This window comes from Homo sapiens, chromosome 4 (assembly GCF_000001405.40).
Source record: "Homo sapiens chromosome 4, GRCh38.p14 Primary Assembly".
Classification (NCBI taxonomy): Eukaryota; Metazoa; Chordata; class Mammalia; order Primates; family Hominidae; genus Homo; species Homo sapiens.
In genome coordinates this window covers 114,928,655-114,950,105 of record NC_000004.12, presented here as the reverse complement: position 1 = coordinate 114,950,105, position 21,451 = coordinate 114,928,655, and the positions used below count along the sequence as shown (strand labels likewise).

General features: G+C 34.9%; 1 protein-coding gene across 3 annotated transcripts in view; it reads left to right on the top strand.

Annotated features, from left to right (window-relative positions):
* The window catches only part of NDST4 (N-deacetylase and N-sulfotransferase 4), a 285,858-nt gene that overhangs the window by 163,515 nt on the left and 100,892 nt on the right, over nt 1–21,451 (top strand). For all 3 annotated transcript variants that reach the window (XM_017008545.3, NM_022569.3, XM_017008546.2), the window contains 2 exons: nt 12,603–12,788; nt 14,772–14,900. In XM_017008545.3, coding sequence (XP_016864034.1) covers nt 12,603–12,788; nt 14,772–14,900 — 315 coding nt within the window. The remainder of the gene's footprint in view (nt 1–12,602; nt 12,789–14,771; nt 14,901–21,451) is intronic.

The window sequence follows — 21,451 nt, the reverse complement described above, 5'->3', positions numbered from 1 at the left end:
AATGACCTTTGCTTAGAGCTCTACATTTGAAATAACAATTTTCCAGTTTCTCATCTCACCTCCCCGTGTTCCTAATTAATATATCATAATTTATTGCTCTCCTATAATCTTCTAAATCAGTATTCTTACATGTACTTTGTACATAGGAAGTAGACTGCTTAGTAACAGGGAATTTACATCCTTATTTTTACTTTCTCGTTTCAGGCTACAGATGTCTTAAATCCTGGGACGTCACTTCTAAATGTATACTCAATGCCAATGTTTACTTTCTTGCTTACTCAATAAAGCCAAAGTTTGCTTGTGGAGCCAAACTGTCCAGTTAAAAGAATAAATTTCTCAGCTTTTATTTTAGGTAGTGGGCATTGAACATTGTTCTGGCCAATCAGATGAAAGCACAACTTATAGTATGGGGCTTCCAGGAAAGCTTCATAAAAGGAGGCTAGATATTGCTGGGGCTCTGCCCTTCTGCCCTTAGCTTTTATTTCTTTCTCTAACCTGCTGTATGGTCCCATTGGCTGGAACTAAAGTATCCATCATAAAACTATGGAGCAAATGCCAAGAGAATCTGAGGCCTCACTTTTGGCAATCTTAAACTGCTGAACCAATACTAGCAACCACTACTCTACAGGTTCCCCATTACACGAGAGAAAAAAATAAAAATAAAATTCCTATGTTTTTCAGTTTACTGTTTTTGGGGTTGTTCCTTTTTTGGTACAAAGGCTGGACCCATTCCCTATCCGACATCATGCTCTAATGCTTTCCCTTAGAGTTTTTCTCTTAAATTATTTTGAGATTTGCTTATATTCAAGTTGTTCCCATTGTCTAGAATTTGCAGACCCTCAAAGGAATATTTATATAGAATAATATCCTAAAATTTAATATTTTAATACTTTCTAAAAAAATTGATAGAGTTATTAATCAATTATTAGATAACAGTTTTGTGACTGGATTCTTGAAGTGGTCAATAATAGCATAATTAGCTCTCACAAAATTTAGTTTCACTGTTTCAGTGATCACCCTTGTTTCTAATTATTAAATGACTGTGAAATAATTAAAAGCCAAAGTTTTCAATGATTTTTAAAGCATTATTACTTCCCTCTTTTGTTTTATTATTATTATTTAACTGCTCTACTAAATATGACTATTTAAATTGGATAATCCCTCCAAACTATTAGTTAAAACAACTCTTTCTCTGCCTCTTTTCTTTTCTCTTTTGCATTTTTGAGTTTGAAAAATTATTTTAGTATGATGGTGTCCTTTATACTTTATCTATAGTAGCTGAACATCTTCAGCATTCCATGATTTTTTAAAGTAGTTGACACTTTAGTTCTCTGCAGTCTTTTCTGCAGTAACTTGAGCAATATTCAAATATAAGAAATTGTTTCCAAATATGTTTACACTGGAGAGAATTAAAGCTGGTTAATAACACAGGATAATTGGGGTGTTTACTGTAAACTTGTTTGGGGATGAGAACTGTATTGATGACCTTATTTCCAAATATGATATCACTTCAACAGGATAACAAAATGAAAATATAATAATTCATATGATTTTAGTTTGAAATGTGTGAACATGTCTACAGAAAAATATAATTATTTAATAATCTATATGGCCAGTTACTCAAGTAAATGAAATCATTCATTTAATTCTTTGAGTATATAGGTACCATTTATTAATAGGAACCTACTTTTGGTCTGATGAAATTTAACCTGCTTTGCCTGGTAGTAAAGGTTCCACAAAATTGCAAACAATCATTATTTTAAGTAAGAGAAGGCACAGGATGTCATAAAAGGACAAAATGTAATAACACGTTGTATTTGGGGGGTGGGGGAGGGAAGTGACATTCAGAGGGATGGCTCATGCATATACCAAATGTTTAAAACATTTTTCCATAAATGTGTTAAGCTGACATTAAGTTGGGAAAATGCCTCGTAAGGGAAATCTCAGCTTGAATCAAAAATAATATTTAAAAAAATCCATTGCTAAGAGAAAGTAGTAGTTTATGCTAATCTACTCTTTCTGCAAAGTGATGTCTTTGAATTAATGATTCTAACCCATCAGCTGCTATATATAATTGTAGAAGGATCCAAAAAGTTTGGAAATATGTTCATAATCATAAAATGAAGCACACGGTAGACAGCTTCGAAAAGGACATTTAGCCCTCTTCCACTTGTCTTCTTCACATACACAGGCATCCCCGGCTATCCCATTGAAATCAATGCTTCACTCCATGAAAATATGCAATCAGATCGAAGATTTTTTAAAGCCTAATATTTTATTTGTGTGCTGCACATAAATATTTGAGGTACTAAGAATGAAGAGAAATATGCCAAGATATTTACATGTAGTCGTTACTTAAGACAAAATTATAGAAAATCATAATGTGAAAATTGTATGATTTGAATTAAGCAAAATTATTTTAAGTACCTTCTTTTTCCACATTTCTGCCTACAGTACTATAGAAATGATGTAATAATGGGCTGGATAATACCATTCTTATTTCCACCTGACTTAACACGTTGAAGAATTTTGAATGTTATCATTTAGTCCAGGTTAAAGGCACTAGTAGAAACTTAATACTTAATACCTGTAACTTTTCTCTTGCTTCTAAATTAAATATAAAAACATCTCTCTATGTAACACAGTCCTGCAATTAAGGGAGTAGTGCTAAAATGCAGTTCTGCATTTCTCAGGATATCATGCTACCACATCTTTGTTGTCCCTCACTCTTCTTGGGCGCTTGCTTTCCTCCTTATTCAACCTCTTGCAAGAGCCAATCATAGTAAGCATTCATTCCCTTGTATATGCTCTGAATTTCTTTACACTTTTCTTTTTATCATACTTCCCTATAGAGCCTCAACCCTGGTTAAATCCAAATTGACACCAAGTTTATGCCTATACTACTGAAACTAAATTTGTCTTGGACCAGTGTTTAATTGTTCTCACTTTAATACCTGGCCATAGACCCCAAGGGGACCTTCTATGCTGCCCAGACATTACAAGTCTTTATTTCATTCATAATCCTACTCTTCTATACCTTTTCCTCTCTCTTCAAACTACCGCACAAATTATCTCATCCCTACTCTCAGCTGATAATCTTGTTTCTTATTTCAATGAAAAAAAATCGACCAACAAAAAAAAAACCTTTCACATACTTCTGTTATTACAACTTCCACTTCAATACAATGGTAACAAAATAAAAATAAAATAGTAGCCACGATTTTAATTTTAAGCATGTGAAAATATCTACAGAAAAAAAAGTAATCATCATAACAATGTTTTTATGTAAAAACCTAAAAGATCTGTACCCATTCCTTCTCTTCAGTGTTGCCGCATTGCACAGCCTCTGGAAAAGCATGGTAAATGTGAACGGTGCCCCCTGGAGTTGTTCAGTGAAAAATTTTCAAAGCTATTTGCAGCAACTCTGCCTCTTGACATCATCTCTTGCTAATCTCCCCCTTTGTTAACTCTGCTGCAAAAACAATAGAATTCTTGCTATTCTTCAGAAATGACCAGGCTTCATCTGTGCTGTCTCCTCTGCCTGGAATAATCTTTCTCAAATAGTCTGTATAGCTCAATCCGTCACAACTTTTTACCTTAACTCAAACTACTACCTTCTCCATTAAACCATGGCTGAGTGATCTATTTAATTTTGCAACCCGTACCCCTTGATTCCACTCTATATTTCTGCTTTATTTTTCTCCATATTTCTAATCACCTTCTAATATATTACACAATTTACTTACTTCTTTTGTATGACCTTGGACTCACTCTGCTAAAATGTAAGCTCCCTGAAGGCAGGCATTTTTTTTTCTGTTTTCTTCACTGCTGTATCCTCACCATGAATAAAATGAATTAATAAGCCATGTGTTGGACATGTTGATTGTCAATAAAGTAAGACTTCAGAACCAAAATTTAGCAAAGCACGTGCCAAATCAACAGAAATGGCACATTTTATACAATGTGAATGAAAACTTGCTGGTTTTTCCATTAGTCCCCTTTAAGCAGCAAAGTAGACCTTCAGCAGGGTCAAGAATATTAAAAGGATGTGTCTCAATTGCCCAAAATAGCTCTACTTAGGATCGGAAAGTTCAAGACTGTAGAGGTAATGCCATTTCTGTTCTATTTCTTTTGTCAAAAGAAAAATCCATTTGTAACACAGAGCCCTCCAGAGATTTGTCACCATTTGCTAGGCTTCAGTCCAAAAAGTGTCAAGACTCACCCAGCCAATTTCCAGGGTCACATAGTCATTACTTTTATCACTTATGAAAACAGAAGAAGACAATTTCAGTCCCCTAAACACAGTGGAAAATCAATGATTCTAGGATCATTTTCAAAGTTGACAATATGAATCCAAGTCCTTACTAAAAGGAGAAATAGATAATGAGATCTATTCTCTGTAGCGCCAGTGTCACTCCCTAGAAGTTGTGCATTTAGGAGAAGAAACCAGCACTTTAAGTTCAACAAGGTACTGCTTAATGCATTATCTCTTTACAACAAGTGCATTACTTTATGCAGTCATTATTTTATTGTTTTCTCTTCACACTAATTTATTAAACACCTATGATGTGTTTCTTTAATATGTTTATTTCCTTTAAAATTATTTATCAAATACCAACAATGTACCAAGCACTCTGCTAAGGACTGGGGATATATTATCTCAAATATATTGTGGGCTGGTTTTACAAGCCATAGTTCCTGGAGTGCAAACATAGGGTCATAAAAATAGAGAAAATACCATTTGCTGGTTCTTACCCCTCTTTATATTGACACCTTCATCCACTTTTCAAGTTTCTGCCCAGCGATTTGTGTAAAATCCTGGCAATGACTCCTGTATGTTTATGAGCCAAATCCTCTGCACCTCCATTTGTCTTTTTTTTTTTTTTTTTTTTTTTTTGAGACGGAGTTTCATTCTAGTTGTCCAGGCTAGAGAGCAATGGCATGATCTCGGCTCACCACAACCCGGCCTCTCAGGTTCAAGTGATTCTCCTGCTTCAGCCTACCAAGTAGCTGGGATTACAGGCATGTGCCACCACAGCCAGCTAATTTTGTATTTTTAGTAGAGACAGGGTTTCTCCATGTCGGTTAGGCTGGTCTCGAACTCCCGACCTCACATGATCCGCCTGCCTCGGCCTCCCAAAGTGCAGGGATTACAGGCATGGGCCACCACAGGCTGTCCTCTTTTATTCTCTGGCTCTCTGTGGTGTGGCGCGTCTCCTGAAAAGTAGCTGTCAGTGCCTGACCAAAAATGCAGCACCGGGGTGGTGTTTGTGCTCACCTATCGTTTCTTCTACCCCCGCATGTGAAGCTTTCGGATATGTTTGCCCATTTTTTTAAAGATGTGGTTATCTTCACAAAGGAGCACTGCAATGCATGCTGGCACCAAGGTGCTGTGATAATCAAAATCAGTCCATTGGAGCAGTGTTCTTTCAAGAAAATCTGTCCCCTTTTGTGAGGTTACCTACATTGTATGGTTTCACCATAGTGTTAATCTGTGTTCCTAGGATCTAAGACAGATTTCATAGTAACTATTTGCAACACATCAGATGCCAGAAGATTAGAGGTGATAATGACAATTGCAGAGGATTTATTAAGAAGACTATTTACAAAGGAATAAGTAGGGTATAGAGTATTATCCTAGGACTAAACACAGTGCAGATGGTGAGCTGTGAAATCCCAAAGTTTGAAGGGGAAGAGGCGAAAAAAGATCATCAGAGTTGAGATGGAGAGAGTTATATGTGATGTGGGGTTGGGGACACTTTGACAGTTGTTTTAACCTTTGATTGAAGGAGTCTGACAACTTTAGATGGCATTGCATAAGAAGAGCTAATAGAATAAATATCCACTTCACTCTTTCTTCTCTCTGATCTCCTACCAGGATTCTCCATTTGCCAGACTCAACTGGAAGCAAGAAAGCAAGAGAACCCCTTGAAACAGTTCACACACTCTGGCCCCTAAATTATAGAGCAGGGTGGAAAGAGGTGGCAGTGGTAATGGACAGGCCACTTTTATTCCAGATTTTAGCTCTGCTCCACCTCTGTGGGACCTAGGAAAGTATTTGGCTGTTGGTCTAAATCTCCTCTCTGCTTCAATCCTTAGTCATTATACTTGACTCAAGCTTGTGGTCCTTGTGCTTGCATTTCCCAAAGTTGATGTTTTTCCAAAATGATCTATGTACCTTTTCTCAACAAATTAACACTTAAATAGAGTTTATGACTTCATAGCCACTATTTCAAGCAGAGGAATTCTTAACTCATCTATTCCCCCCAACTATTTAGTCCCCTAATATTATTAAACTAATTTTATAAATGAGAAATTTGAGGCACAGAAAAATAAGTCTCTCTCAAGGTCATACAACTAATACTTGGCAAAGCCAAAATTCAAATCCAGCCAACCAGTCTCCAGATTCCAAGCTCTAGTATACTGTTTGGAATAACAAATATTTTTATTATGTACTTAAAATATTATATATAATTATGTGAAAACGGAAATAATCTCTCTACACGAAGAGATTAAGTTCTATTGGCAGAGATACTCAAATGTAATAAAGAAAGTTTTAATGTAGAGATATTCATGTAAGACTATAAGGCCCCAAACGTACCTAACCAATCTCAGTCTAGGGTGGGAGAAAAGAATCAGAGAGTGTACCCAAGAGGAAATCATTACTGATATTTGGAGGGCAAAGTTTGGTAGTTTGTACTTTAACCTGAACACAGCAAGGAACCATTGGATGAGTTAATGCTGGTGAATTACATAATTAAGTTATTACTTTTAAAATAACATTCTGATGGTAAAAGTGCAGATATGAATTATAGTGTAAATATACTATTTAAAAATTATTTGTATATGTCAATGTATATTTAGGTATATGAATGAATACCTATTTGTCCTGTTTTTAAGATTTAAGCTTATTATTAAACATTCAAACTTTTTATGTGAATTTTATGGGAAATACATGGGATCTAATAATGTTATCTTTTTAAGCTTATCCTTATCATATACATATATAATATAATTTAAATTATATTATATAATATATAAATTAATATATGTATATATCATATAATATAATTTAAATTATATTATATAATATATGTAAATATTATATATCAGTATATATAAATTCTACTCATCTAAAAATAAAACAAACTGATATAAACAAATTGATTCAAGAATTCAAGATACTAATTTTTTTCATAATAACCATTGATCAGGAGTACTTTATTCCTTTCAGTATTTTATGAGATTATGACCTTGTTTGGAATATTTTTGATTCTGAAGTTTACACTTATTAACTGTTATTTAAAATCCATTAGAAAAATCATTCTTGGAAGCATCAATACTAAGTTCCATTTGATTATTTTGGGTGTGGGAAACATTTACCAACATAAAGTCAGTGGGTCAAAAATTGCTTGTGCAGCCACATCACTAGAAAAATCACTGTAACACAAGCAGTAATTATCCATATTCCATTCTTATCAAAAGCTTCCTAGACACAATTTATTATATTGAATTGCATTTACCCAATTACTAATAATAGCCTGAGGAAGATTAAAATTGTAGTCCCCTAGATATAAATTTCTTATTTTAATTTCAATCTCTACTAAGGAAATGTTAGTAGGATGAAGATTTCAGCCTCTATAGATGTTCGTGTCAAGGATATCATTCTTTTCTGCTAGGAAAATGCCTAAAAGTTAAAATTAATAATATATTTTTTAAAAAATTAAATAATCTTAGGTTAAAATTCACCAAAAATTAAGACACTTCTATCTGATTTCCACAATTGTCTCCAGGTTTCAAACTTCATGAAGGTAGAAGCCCTATCTTATACCCAGGGCATCCCCAGTACTTAGCAAAGTGCTTAACGTAAGTCATGAACTGAAAAACAATTATTTCAAGTGTAGTTTAACTTAATTGTTTTGATGTGCATTTGGTATTTTTCATTTAAATGACTGTAGTCTCCTATTTATTTTCTATACAGTATTCACTGGCTACTCAGTGCATGACATTTAACAGTCACATACATTACATGATAGTATCCAGCTAGAAAAATACATATTTACTATGTTAATCAGCTTTATTGGATAAGTATTGAGCAGTGTTTTACCAAATTTTTCCTCTGTTTTCTTAGAACTTAAACCACTAGACGTCTCAACAGAAGTTCTTAAATCTTTTTATACTTATTAGAAATGGGCAAAAATCAGCTCTAGCAGTCAGGTTTCCAAGCTAGAAACATAAGCCACTTTAAGTTATTTTAAACAAGAAGACTTTATTTAATGATTTCAGTGCTTCCAAAATCTTTGGAAGGACTCATGGAGCAGATTGTACGCTGTACTCCTGCAGGGACTCTCAGAACCATATAGAACTGGCTCCCTGGGGGAGCTGCCATTTCTGAGGCTGCCACAGGATCTCCGTTAAAAACAAAAAGCCTCTGCTGCTGCCCTGCAAATGGGCACCAAACACTGCTAGAAAAAAACTTGCTTATTTGCAAGAACTTACAGCCAGCAACAGGAGCCAGGAGCTGCCAAAATTTAGGATTTGCCTTCCTACTGCCTTCTGAAATTGGTCTTGAGTACTCCTAAAAGGCTGAAACTCATTTTCATAAAAAAAATGATAGCTGCAGAGGAGTTTGAGAAATGTAGACTTTGTTTTATAACCTCTCCAAGAACAAAAAAAAAGTGAACAGGAGATCCAGTTCAGAAACATGCATATTAAAATCAAACCCCTTTTGTAAGTCAAGTGTCTTCATACTTTGGGGAGGGGAGGGGAGGGGTCACAGTAGAAGCAACTTAGTGAAAAAGTAAGAGCAAAGATGATGAATCTAGACAACTTGGGTAGAAGTATAGCTCAGACACTTGTGAATGAATATAAGCAAGTTACATGCCTTCTCTGAGCCTCTGTTTCCACATTTTAGAGCAGCATCCAGTCCTCCTCACAGAATGATTATGAGAATCATATTACACGTAAATGTAAAAATACTTCATAAATATTGATGCAGACATGAGGCAGGAAAATACTAGGTAGAAGAGGGAGGTTCCCAACAGGGGCCACACCCTCAAGCCTGGGACTGCGGCCCAAAGTGAGAACATGCATTCTTGTTTTCCCACTTGAATGTTGCTTTTTGGCCTGCCCCACACCCCATCCTGTACCCATAAAAACCCCAGGCTCCACCACTGGCAGAGGGGCAGCAGAGCAGGAGAGCAACTGAGCAGCAGAGCAGAGCAGCAGAGGAGAGAAGAGAAAAAGCAGCTGGATGCCAGAGGGTAGCAGCTTGACTTCAGAGGGCCAGCTTGACAGCAGGACTTTGGAGAAGTGTTCGACCATGGACAAACTCAATAAACCCGCCCCACATTCACCACCCTTCAATTCCTTCATAGGACCTGACTCTTCCTCAGCACTGGACAAGAACTTGGGTACCAAGAGGGCGGGTGCAAAAGGCTGTCACCTGACCTTCCACCGAGCTGTTAAACAAGCCATCCATGGACGGCAAAGCTAAAAGAGCACAGTGCAACTACTCCTGCCGGTGCCCAGAAGCACTCATGCTGGCCCCTGCACCTGCTCACTCACCTACATGCTCCCCGTCCTGTTAGGGATTGAAAGCTGTGGGCTGAGTAAATTAGCAAACCCAAGGGAACCATCCCATTTCAACTAAGCAATTAAAAGAAGATATGATCAGTAGGAATTATCAAGGGAAAATTAAATGACATTATTTCAGTTGCTGTTAGAGCTTTAGTGCTAAATACATTTTATTTTATTCTAATTTTTGAAAAATGGTGATCTTTTTCATATAGTCTGTAAATTACTGCAATATCTTATTTCGCAACTAACTGGGATTTAATGGACTGGAAACATTAGATCAAGTCAAACCCCTCTGAATATTTGTGGTATCATGTCTTATTGTAGTATAGACTCCATAGATCCTGTAAGAGACATTATTCTAATAAATAATTAAAGCCATATTTGAATTTATTTGTTTTCTGTCATTTACGTGTCTATATTTATAGAGTCTCAAGTGCTTCCTATATTTACATTGGAAGGCTTTTCAAATTTTGTAATTTTTGTGATCTTCTGGAAATATGATGCTTGGTTGATTTTCTAGTTGGCCAAGTCTCTGCGAAGTAGGTTTTAAGCCCTGGACAATAGAAAATAGAAGCTTCTCGGTCTGTAAGCGCCATGATAATAGCAAAAGAGTTGCTAGGGAATTACTTCCCACTTTGTGTTGTCATTTAGATTGAAAAAGCATAAACTCATAATTATATAGTGTGATATACTATTTTAATTGAGCTCCAGTTGCCAGTGTGATAAGATGACCTTATGAACAGTATAACACTGGGCCCCCAGAAATCAATAAATATAGTAACTTTTTTTTACTGCCCTTCCTTCCTACTCACCGAATCAATTGCTTTTTACCTTTTTTTTTTGAAAGTTCTACAATTCATTTTACTACCTGTCAAAAGTGAAATGTCTCTTTTTTTTTCCTGAGGAGATATAGTTGTTTGATATTTCAATACTTTTTGCTGATTTTATTTTTCATTGCTTTGTATCTAGGACACTCACATACTTCATCTAACCTTCTAGGCCCCAAATTTAGAGTCAAATTTATACAGTTATAGAGAATGAGGACTAACAAAGTGATTAGTTAAGACTATTAGGATTTGTACACTGTTGATTTTGTCACTTTTCACATTGTGGGACAAGCCTTATAAAACCTCAGTATGAATCACTTGAGAGAGTAAAAAGGAGGATAACAGGTTGATTCCCTTTTCCTGTACATCAGGAGCACCTCTCTAGGCACATTCATACAAATTCTATTTACCAGACAGAGGAGTCTGGACACGCTTGTCTCTAGATTTTTCTCATGAAGTAATGAGAAAAATCTGTCTCACACCCAATGCATCCACAAGCTTGCAATGTCTTGGATGCTGGAGGATTGCTTATCCTCAAAACACTTTGTGACCACTCATTGGCGAGCATGGAAGAAACCTGAGAGAACTAAGGCTGTCCCAGTACATGTTCCCTAGTGATATCAGGGTAACAACTGTTGCCTGTCCTCTCTGGTAGTTTCCAAGTACTTTTATTACTGGACTTTTCCAGCTTTGCCTTGTGTTGGAAACACAAGTGCTAGGAAGAAGTATTTTTCTTCTGCACAGATCAAGAAATGAAATTCTCCCCAGTGTCTAGCAAAAGACTCTAGCTCATTTTACAGCATTGATTTCATAATTCAGTCTTCTACAGAGTCATTTACTGTAACAGATGTTAGGAAACACCCATAGTCTTGGAGAAAGAGAGGTGACTTTGGCTATACAATGAGGGTCATTACATGAAAGGCAGAATGATGGAGACTTGTGAAAAATTTAGGGTTCATCTTCTGAACTGAGTGTAGCGTATGACTAAGGCATTGTAGATATGTGATCCATTCACTACTTGCTTATTAGACGAGACTGAATTCTTTTCCTATGCTGTGTACCATATAATGGAAAATATAAATGGCAATTGTCAAGTCAACACTTTTGTGTTCTGTTTATTGATTCAATCAGCTTTCATGTGTGACTGTGCATTGTCATTTATAACCTCAATTGATGAGATTCAATCCTACAAGGAGTCTTTTAAAGCAGATAAGCATTTAAAGGGAGGGATATAAAGAAACAGAAATTAGAAAACTGCAGATCTATTTTATGTACCTAGCAATATAATCCCATTCTTTGACAATTTTTTATATTCTTGTTTAAATTTATACTTGTTTTCTTTTAGAGTTGACTGTTTACCCAAGAATCTCATAGTGAAGTGTAAGATTTATAAAAACAAATTGAGTTGTTAAGGTTCAAAACCAAGGAGAAAATCTTAACCTTTACCTTTCCTTTACCCTGGGTATCTAAAACATCACTGGATCTTGTATGGTATTAATCCCCTGCCTTTGAATCTGACCATAAATAATTTAATTTAGTTACCTATGTTCACCTAATTGGTAGCATAGAAATAGTTTCCTAATGCACAGCCTTTATTCACTTTCTTCCCCTTACAGTTTATCTTAACATGCTGTCACTAGGTTCTTCTTCTTAAAACTCAGAGCAGATCTTGGCCCTCCAGGCTCAGAGAGCTTCCTTATCTACCTTGTTGAAATCGAATTAATTCAAAATCTTTCAGTTTAAATGTAAAAGCTCATCACTTCATTATTCATAGTTACCTTTCTGATTTTCTTCAATACCCGCCCCCCGCCACACACACACACGTACACACGCATTCTATGCCCTTTCATCCTTCATATTTGAGCGCTTCCTCAAATGACACCTTTCCCCGCCCCCCACATTTATCCAAGGAAGGGCTAATTTCACTTCTTATCTTCCCCCAAAACTTTACATATTCAAAATTTTAAATTAATCTCACCCACACACCACATGCCCAAAGTAATGACTATATCTGTTATGCCATCAGAGTTCTATAAGATTATGAGCTGCTCGAAGATAAAACCTCTACCTTGCTGGATTTTTAATTCTCATATTTAGCATAGAGTTCAATGTATTCTAAATAGATGTTGGTGGAAATGATTTTCACTGAATTAATTGGCCTTGTCCCATCATGATGTTGTTCTGGCTTTGTTTTAGGAACATGGAATACCAATCAACATGGGCTATGCTGTGGCCCCACATCACTCAGGGGTCTACCCGGTTCACATTCAGCTGTATGCAGCTTGGAAGAAGGTCTGGGGTATTCAAGTCACCAGCACTGAAGAATATCCACATCTGAAACCTGCCCGGTACAGAAAGGGCTTCATTCACAATAGCATCATGGTGAGCACAGAGAGCCATGTATATTGAAGGATGTTAATATTTACATGTGGAATGAAGACAGAGGGCCATTTCCTCTAAGGATGTAACCTCGAACCTCTTTTACATGATTATCAGAAATACCTAACATATCTCAATGGTGACTGGTTATGCATTAACCCATCTTTTGGTGATAGGCTTGCTCCTAAGCTGTGGAGTGGCTTTGGCAAATCTAAAACAAGCTGAAACTAACAGGAATGAGTTATGTATAGATTATCCACTTTAGTTTCAGTATTGAAATTTTGCCTGTGGATTCCATACTTTTCCTAGGAAATTTCTCATTATCTATTTGGTTGGGTGGTTTTACTGAGAGTTTTACAGGCAGAGTAAGGCTGCATGGATTAAGAAAACACCTCTCAAGTTGTTATTCTGTCAACAGACAGAATGTTACAAATAGCATCTGAGAGTTAAATTTATTCACTCAGTTTATTTTGGCTTTCAGGCACTCAAAAGTATCTAAGAATACTGCTCTCTCTTTTTGTCTTTTCCTTGCATATTCCAAAAAGGGAGGTATATGTTTTTTCTTTTCAGATATAGTAATTGAAAAATAATAGGATGTAGGAATCCTAATAAATGAGAATAAAACCAATTGGATTTCAGAAGGCAATTTGCAATCATTCATTGGGAAAGAAAACATTATATTACTCATTTTGAGATAAAATAGCCTATTTTAAAACAAGTATACCTACTTCTAGTGACTTAGATGATGTTTTTATAATTAGTTGCCAAGATCAGAGCATTGGTTTACAAACTGTTCTTACTCATTTGAATATTTACACCTTCCTAATTCATTATTCATATTGCTGTTAAAATCCATCTATCATCTATTTATCTATCTATGATTTATTTTTCTATCTAATCGCCATCTGTGAGTAAAGCAAATGCACACACATATATCTAACCAGAGCTGATACACAATATTTATTAGTCATGAAGCTCTATTTTATTGCAAATTGGTACCAGAAGGCCTGAAGAAGCCTCAGATTTAAGAGAAGCTATTGATAATGCAAATAGTGGCATTGATGGCCATAGAAATCCAGAAGGTATAAATAGAATTACTCACATAATTTCAAATCATAGTGAAAATACCCAGGTTTCCCTTTACCTTTCCTTTACCTTCTGTATCTAAAACATCATTGGATCTTGTATGGCATTAATTCCTTGCCTTGAATGACCATTCAACATATTATGAAATGAAAGCATTCTTTTTAACCAATATTATATTCATTTATTTACCTTAAGTTTAATATTAACCCTTATGATAATTAAGCAAATAATTTTGAAAAAAAAAACTGTAGGCAATTAGATGCATTTGTCCATTAAATTACCAGTAGTTTGTCATTCAAAATATGATTTTGGAATAAAATTACTTATTTGCTTTCTTTATTAAACATTCAGACTTACAAAAGAAGTAACCACAAAATATACCAGAAGTAATCACTAAATAATTTGACTAGTATATCATAAAATGTAAATTCAGATTGTAGTGAAAACAAAGCTAATGTGGAAGGGGTTATGAAAACCAATTGTGGTAAATCCCAGAACCTGCATACCTTTACAATGCAGGACTCGATTTCAGAAGTGAAGAGAGTAATGGCCTAATGGCATGAAAGACGGAACCTTGGAGAATTTCCATCTTTGGGTGAACTTAACCCTAAGAAGGCTTTGTGTTTTCCCTAATCATTTAACATAACACAGGTGGTGGGTTAGATTTATAAAACCAACTGAAAATTATTTAACCTATATTTTTTATGCCTTTGATATGGAAACTCCCTTAATATTTACAGAATTGCACCAACATCAACTTGTGATTATAATAAGATTTGGCCTTAGCAACCAAGAAAATCCAATAGGAAATTACAATTTGCAGATTCTAAAGTTATGAGACACAGGTGAAGTTCTTAATTAAATCACGTCCATGTGCTGTTTTTCCCCTTTTTTACTCAGGTCCTCCCTCGACAGACTTGTGGGTTGTTCACTCACACTATTTTCTACAAAGAATATCCAGGAGGACCCCAAGAACTGGATAAAAGTATCAGAGGAGGTGAACTTTTTCTCACAATCCTTCTAAACCCAGTATGTATTCTATGTATGCACCTTACAATAAGATTAGCATTTTTAAATGTGTTTTATTTTCCTGTCTTTTAAACTAAATCATATTTATTTTCTTTATTTACAGCACATCTTACTGGTCATGCATTTAAATCTATATTAAAATACTTTTCTTGATAAAATTTGACTTTGGGACTGATTTTTCAGTAGATTTCATTACAAAGTCATGGTTTTTACTTTGTAATGTGGGTAGTGAAAAGTTTATTTCTAGCAGTAAAGAAGTAGCAATGTTTTCCATTGTTATTTTTTTCAAGTTAGGTCTTTCTCTCAGCTTTATGAAGGTATAATTGACAAATAAAATTTTTTTATTTTTACAGTACAACATGATGCTTTGTTACATGTAAACATTGTGAAATAATTAAATCAATCTAATTAACATACTATCATCTCTCATTCTTATTATTTTTGTAACAAGAACATTTAAAATATTTATTCTCTTAGCAATTTTTAGGTATACAATATGTTACTATTAACTATTAACTTATTCATCCCATCTAACTGGAACTTTGTTCCTTTCCACGAACTTTCCCCCAGCCACTGGCATCCTACTCTCTGGATCTATGAGTTCAACTTTTTATTTTTATTTTTTTTATTTTTATTTTATTTTTTTTTTTTTGAGAGGCAGTCTCGCTCTGTTGCCCAGGCTGGAGTGCAGTGGCGCGATCTCCGCTAGCTGCAAGCTCCGCCTCCCGGGTTCACGCCATTCTCCTGCCTCAGACTCCCAAGTAGCTGGGACTACAGGCGCCTGCCACCACCACGCCCGGCTAATTTTTTGTATTTTTAGAAGAGACAGGGTTTAACCGTATTAGCCAGGATGGTCTCGATCTCCTGACCTCGTGATCTGCCTGCCTCGGCCTCCCAAGAGTTCAACTTTTTTAGATCTCACATATAAGTGAGATCATGAAGTATTTGTCTTTCTGGTCCTGACTTATTCACTTAGCATATGTCCTCCTGGTTCATCTATGTTGTCACAAATGACAAGATTTCCTTCTTTTTTAAGGATGAATAATATTTTATTTTATGTGTAGATACATACATATGCCACATTTTATTTATTAATTCATGTGTCAATTGACACATAGATTGATTCCATGTTTAGGCTACTGTGAATAATGCTGCAATGAACATGAGAATGCAGGTATGTCTTGAACACACTAATTTCATTTCGTTTGGCTATATACCCAGTAAAGGGATTGTTGGATCATATGGTAGTTTTGAAGGAATCTCTATAGTGTTTTCCATAATATGAAGTAATTTATATTTCTAGCAACAGTGTTCAAATGTTCCCCTTTCTCCACATCCTCGCCAACTTTGTTATCTTTCATCTTTTTGATTAATAGTCATTTTAACAGGTGTGAGGTGATATTTCATTATGGTTTTAATTTGTATTTCCCTGATGATGAATGATGTTAGGATTTTTTCGTATACCTGTTGGGCATTTGTATGTCTTCCTTTGAGAAATATATTTTCAAATCTTCTGCCCATTTTTAAGGGAGGTCATTCCTTTTCTTACTATTAAGTTGTTTGAGTTCCTGATACGTATTTTGGATATTAAGCATTTGTAGATATATGGTTTTAAATATTTTCTCTCATTCCATAGGTTGTCTTTTTCACTCTGTTATTTATGTCCGTTGCTGTGCAAAAGCTTTTTGACTTAATGCAATCCCATTTGTCTATTTTGCTTCTGTTGTCTGGGCTTTTGGGTTTTTACACACAAAAAAAAAAAAAAAAAAAAAAGGAAAAGAAAAAATCAATTCCCAGTCCAATGTCAAAAAGTTTTTTCCCTATACTTCCTTCTAGTAGTTTTCCAGTTTCAGGTATTTGATTTAAACCTTTAGTCCATTTTGAGTTGATTTTTAAATATGGTGTGAGATAAAGGTCTAATTTTGTTCTTCTGTATGGGGATATTCAGTTTTCCCAACACCTGTTTGTTGAAGAGACTGTTCTTTCCTCATTCTGTATTCTTGCAACCTCTGGCAAAAATCAGTTGACTGTAAGTGCATAGATTTATTTCTGGACCGTTTGCTTTGTTTCAGTGGTCTTTATGTCACTCTTTATGTCAGTACCTTGCTGTTTTTATTACCACAGCTTTGTAGTATAGTTTGATGATAGATAACATGATGTCTCCAGCTTTCTTCTTGTTTCTCAAGATTGCTTTGACTATTCTGGGTCTTTTGTGAATCCATAGAAATTTTAGAATTGTTTTTTATATTTCTGTGAAAAAGTCATTAATATTTTGATAGAAAGTTCATTGAATTGGTAGATCATTGTGAGTAATATGGATATTTTAACACTATTAATTCGCTCAATCCATGAAGTTGGGATGATTGTCTGTTAGTGTCTTCAATTTCTTACATCAATATTTTATAGTTTTTGGTATATAGGTATTTAACTTCCTTGGTTACATTTATTCCTAAGTATTTTTTTGATGCTGTTGTAAATGGGATCTTTTTTATTTCTTTTTCAGATAACTTGTCAGTGTACAGAAACACTACTATTTTTGTACATTGATTTCATATACTTCAACTTTACTGAATTTATTAGTTTAACAGTTTTTTCAAGGAATATTTAGAGTTTTCTATATAAAAGAGCATGTTATCTGCAAACAGAAACAATTTAACTTTTTTCTTTTCCAATTTGGATGTCTTTTTTTTCTTTCTCTTGCCCAGTTTCTCTGGCTAGAACTTTTAATATTATATTGAATAGAAGCAGTTAGGGTGAACATCCTTCTCTTGCTTCTAATCTTAGAAGAAAAGCTTTCAACTTTGCACCACTAAAGATGATATTAGCTGTGAGTTTGTAATATATGGCACTAATTGTGTTGTGATGAATATTTTATACCTAATTTGTTGAGCTTTTTATCATGAATGGATGTTGAATTTTGTTACATGCTTTTTCTGCTTCTATTGAGATGATCATATGATTTTTGTCATTTATTCATCTTATTAATATGGTTTATCACACTTATGGATTTGCATATGTTGAACCATTTTTACATCCTAGGAATAAATCCCACATGATTGTGGTGTATTAATGTTTTGATTTGGTATTGAATTTGGCTTGTTAGGATTTCATTGAGAACTTTTGTCTCTATGTTTGTCAGAAATATTACCCTGTAATTTTCTTTTCCTATAGGGCCCTTAACTGGCTTTGATATCAGGGTAATGCTAACCTCATAAAATGAGTTTGGAAGTGTACTCTCCTCTTAAATTTTTTGCAAGAGTTTGAGAAGGATTTGATGTTAATTCTCTAATTTTTTTTTTTATAAAATACATCAGTGACACCATTAAGTCCCGAGCTTTTCCTTGCTAAGAGACCTTTAATTACAATTCATTCTCTTTACTCGTTATTGGTCTGTTCAGATTTCCTATTTCTTCATGACTCAATCTTGGTAAATTGTATCTTTCTGGGAATTTATCTGTTTCTTCTAGGTTAACCTGTTAGGTTTATCATTGTTCATAGTAGTCTGTTTTTATCCCTTTTTGCATTTCTGTGGTATTAGTTGTCTATCTCCTCTTTCTCATTTTATTTGAGCCTTCTCTCCTTTTCCCTTAGTCTAGCTATATGCATGCTAATTTTATTTATCTTTTTAAAAATCCAACTCTTAGTTTCATTGATATTTTCTATTTTTCTAATCTCTATTTTATTTATTTCTGCTGCATTCCTTATTTTTTTCTTCTTTCTGCTGACTTTGGACTAATTTTTTTCTTCTTTGACTAGTTCCTTGAGATATAAAATTAAGCTTTTTATCTGATATCTTTTTTTTTCTTAATGTAAGCATTTAGTGCCATAAATTTCCCTCTTAGAGCTATTTCACAACTTCTTCACAAAACTAGCTGGTAAATTCTAGCACTACTACAAAGAATTTAGACTGCACCTCTAAATAATTTGTTTCTCTTATGGTAGTCAAGAAAACCACATATTTTTAAGAAGCGTGTGTTTAATATAATAATTAAATATTATATAATATCTCATTTGGCTTCTATTTTTAATTATAGTAATGACATATTAATATGTGAATCTCCAGCCAAAAATTAAAAATCATAATTTTATCAGAGGAGCCTATTAGGCCCATAAGTTAAGTTTGCTTCTGGCTGGAGATCTCAGTAGGCACACTTACTTCAGTTTCTAAAAGTGACCACAATATAAAGCTGAATTGAAACTAGATAGTTTTGTATTATCTTTGTGTGCTTGGATGACCTGAAGCTTATTTTTTAAATATTTGCTAATTTTTTTTTGGGAATCAAAGATAGAGAACTTGACCCTTTTGTGTGTGTGTCTTTTCATCTTTAATAGTTGTAATTTTATTTTCTGTTATAAATAGATGTACAATGGTATAGCAGTGTGGGAATCCCAACATTATATAATATTGTGATTATTTCAGCTTTCTAATTTCTTCTTCTGTAATGATTCCATTTCTGAGGTCTTAGGAAAGCATGTCCTCATCATGTCCCAGTGTATACAGAAAATATGAAATAGTGAGCCTTATGCTATGCCCACTTTGTTTCATGGAAGAAAGGCTTATACTTAAGAAAAAGATACACTGTCAACAAAGCTATAGCTAAGTTGGCTGTGGTAAAGCTCTAGGTGTGTTTAAAATAAATTACATTAGATAATTCACATACACTATTTTCAATTCCTAAAAAAATAAATAAAAACTCACATTGTATGAAAATAGAAACTTCTAAATTTGACTGGAAGATAAGAAAGTGAGGGCAAAAATGCTTTGTCAGATTAAACTGTCTTCCCCTACAACTGCATGGCTATTAAAAACAAAACAAAACAAAACAAAAGGTCTGTTGGGTTTAATGGCACCACACTTGGAACAGGCGCATGGATGCTCTGTGATCTTTGGCAAGAAACTTCATTTCTCAGAACTTGCTTGTACTTCTGAATAACAAACTAGTTGAATTAATCCTCAATGTACCTCAAAGGTATTCCAACCAAAGCTATATCTGAGATATTTCAATTTTTGTGCATATTTCAAAATCAACACCTTTTGTATATATTTTTTAAAAACATCAAGGATATTCTAAAATAATTTTTAAAAATTGAGATGTAAATGTTAATGAAAGCAAGTGGAAACCTCTCTCTTCATTCCTTCCCTTACTGAGAATTTAATCTCGACAGAGGTAAGAGTCACTTCATCATACCCTTTTCATTCTGGGGCTACATTCCTGACACATATCTGCCCTAGTCATCTCTTTAGGGTAAGTCAATAATTTTCAGAACACTGACCATTGCCTCCCCTGGACCTCTTGCCCAGGTGTGATTGTTACTGGTGCTTATTACTTGAATGTTTGTCTATTTGTCAATAAAGACATGGATTATGCATCTGTTTCTAAATATTTTGAACCCAATACCCCTCATAGAGCATAATTTGGAGATTTAAACTTAAAATAAATCTCAGGATTTTAAATAACATAAAAGACTATTTGGCTTCTAATATTTCCATGTTTACCACTTGTGAACTAATCAAACTATAGTAAGTCTTATAAATCTCACTTTAAAAAGTTTATCATTGCTACACACATTTATTTCAATTTTAGGCAGAATAGGATAGTGAAAGAGGGGAGTTTCAGGAGGCTTCATCTATCCAGTCACAAACTATACTTGCTTTGTCATTGTAAATTGATGGTGAGCTCAAAATATGATACATAGGTAAATGATAGAGACCAGGACAGACACAGCAGGAGTAGATGGTCAAGAGGGTCGATAGTATGGATAAGATAGCACATCCTAATATGGGAATATGAAGTATAGATCAAGCAAGCACTAGTCCATAAAGATGACTGTTTAAGGAACAATGTTGCTCAAAACAAGGACTATGCATAGCCTCAAGCAATCTGAGTAGATATTGCTCAGATTTCAAGGGAAACAGACTACAGGTAGCATCTGGTAGAGCCCAGGCCAAATGGAGCTTACTTCCCGGCTTGCATAGGCGGAAGTTATCAGATGTCTTAGACGGGGTTCTCCAGGGAAACAGACCCAGCAGGATTTAGATACATAGATAGATAGATAGATAGATAGATAGATAGATAGATAGATAGATAGATGGATGGATGGATGGATGGATGGATGGATGGATGGATGGACGGACGGACGGACGGACGGACGGACGGACGGACAGACAGACAGACAGACAGATAGATAGGGATATAGAGAGAGGCAGAGAGATTATAAAGAAGTGGCTCATGCAATTACGAGGGCTGTCAAGACCCAAGATCTGATATGCAATCAAGAAGCTGGGGAGACCCAGGAAAACTGATGGTATAGTTCCAGTCCAAATGCCAGCAGCCTCAAGACCCAATGAAAGCCAAGATTACAGTTAGAGTTCAAAGGCAGAGAAGAAAAAACAGTGTCCCAAAGTGAAGGCAGTCAAGCAGAAGGAAATTCCTTTTACTTAGCTTTTTTGTTTTATTCGGGCCTTCAACAGCTTGATTAAAGTCTACCCGCATTACAGAGGGCAATCTGCTTTACCCAATACAGGGGTTGTGCACTGGACTGATTAAAAC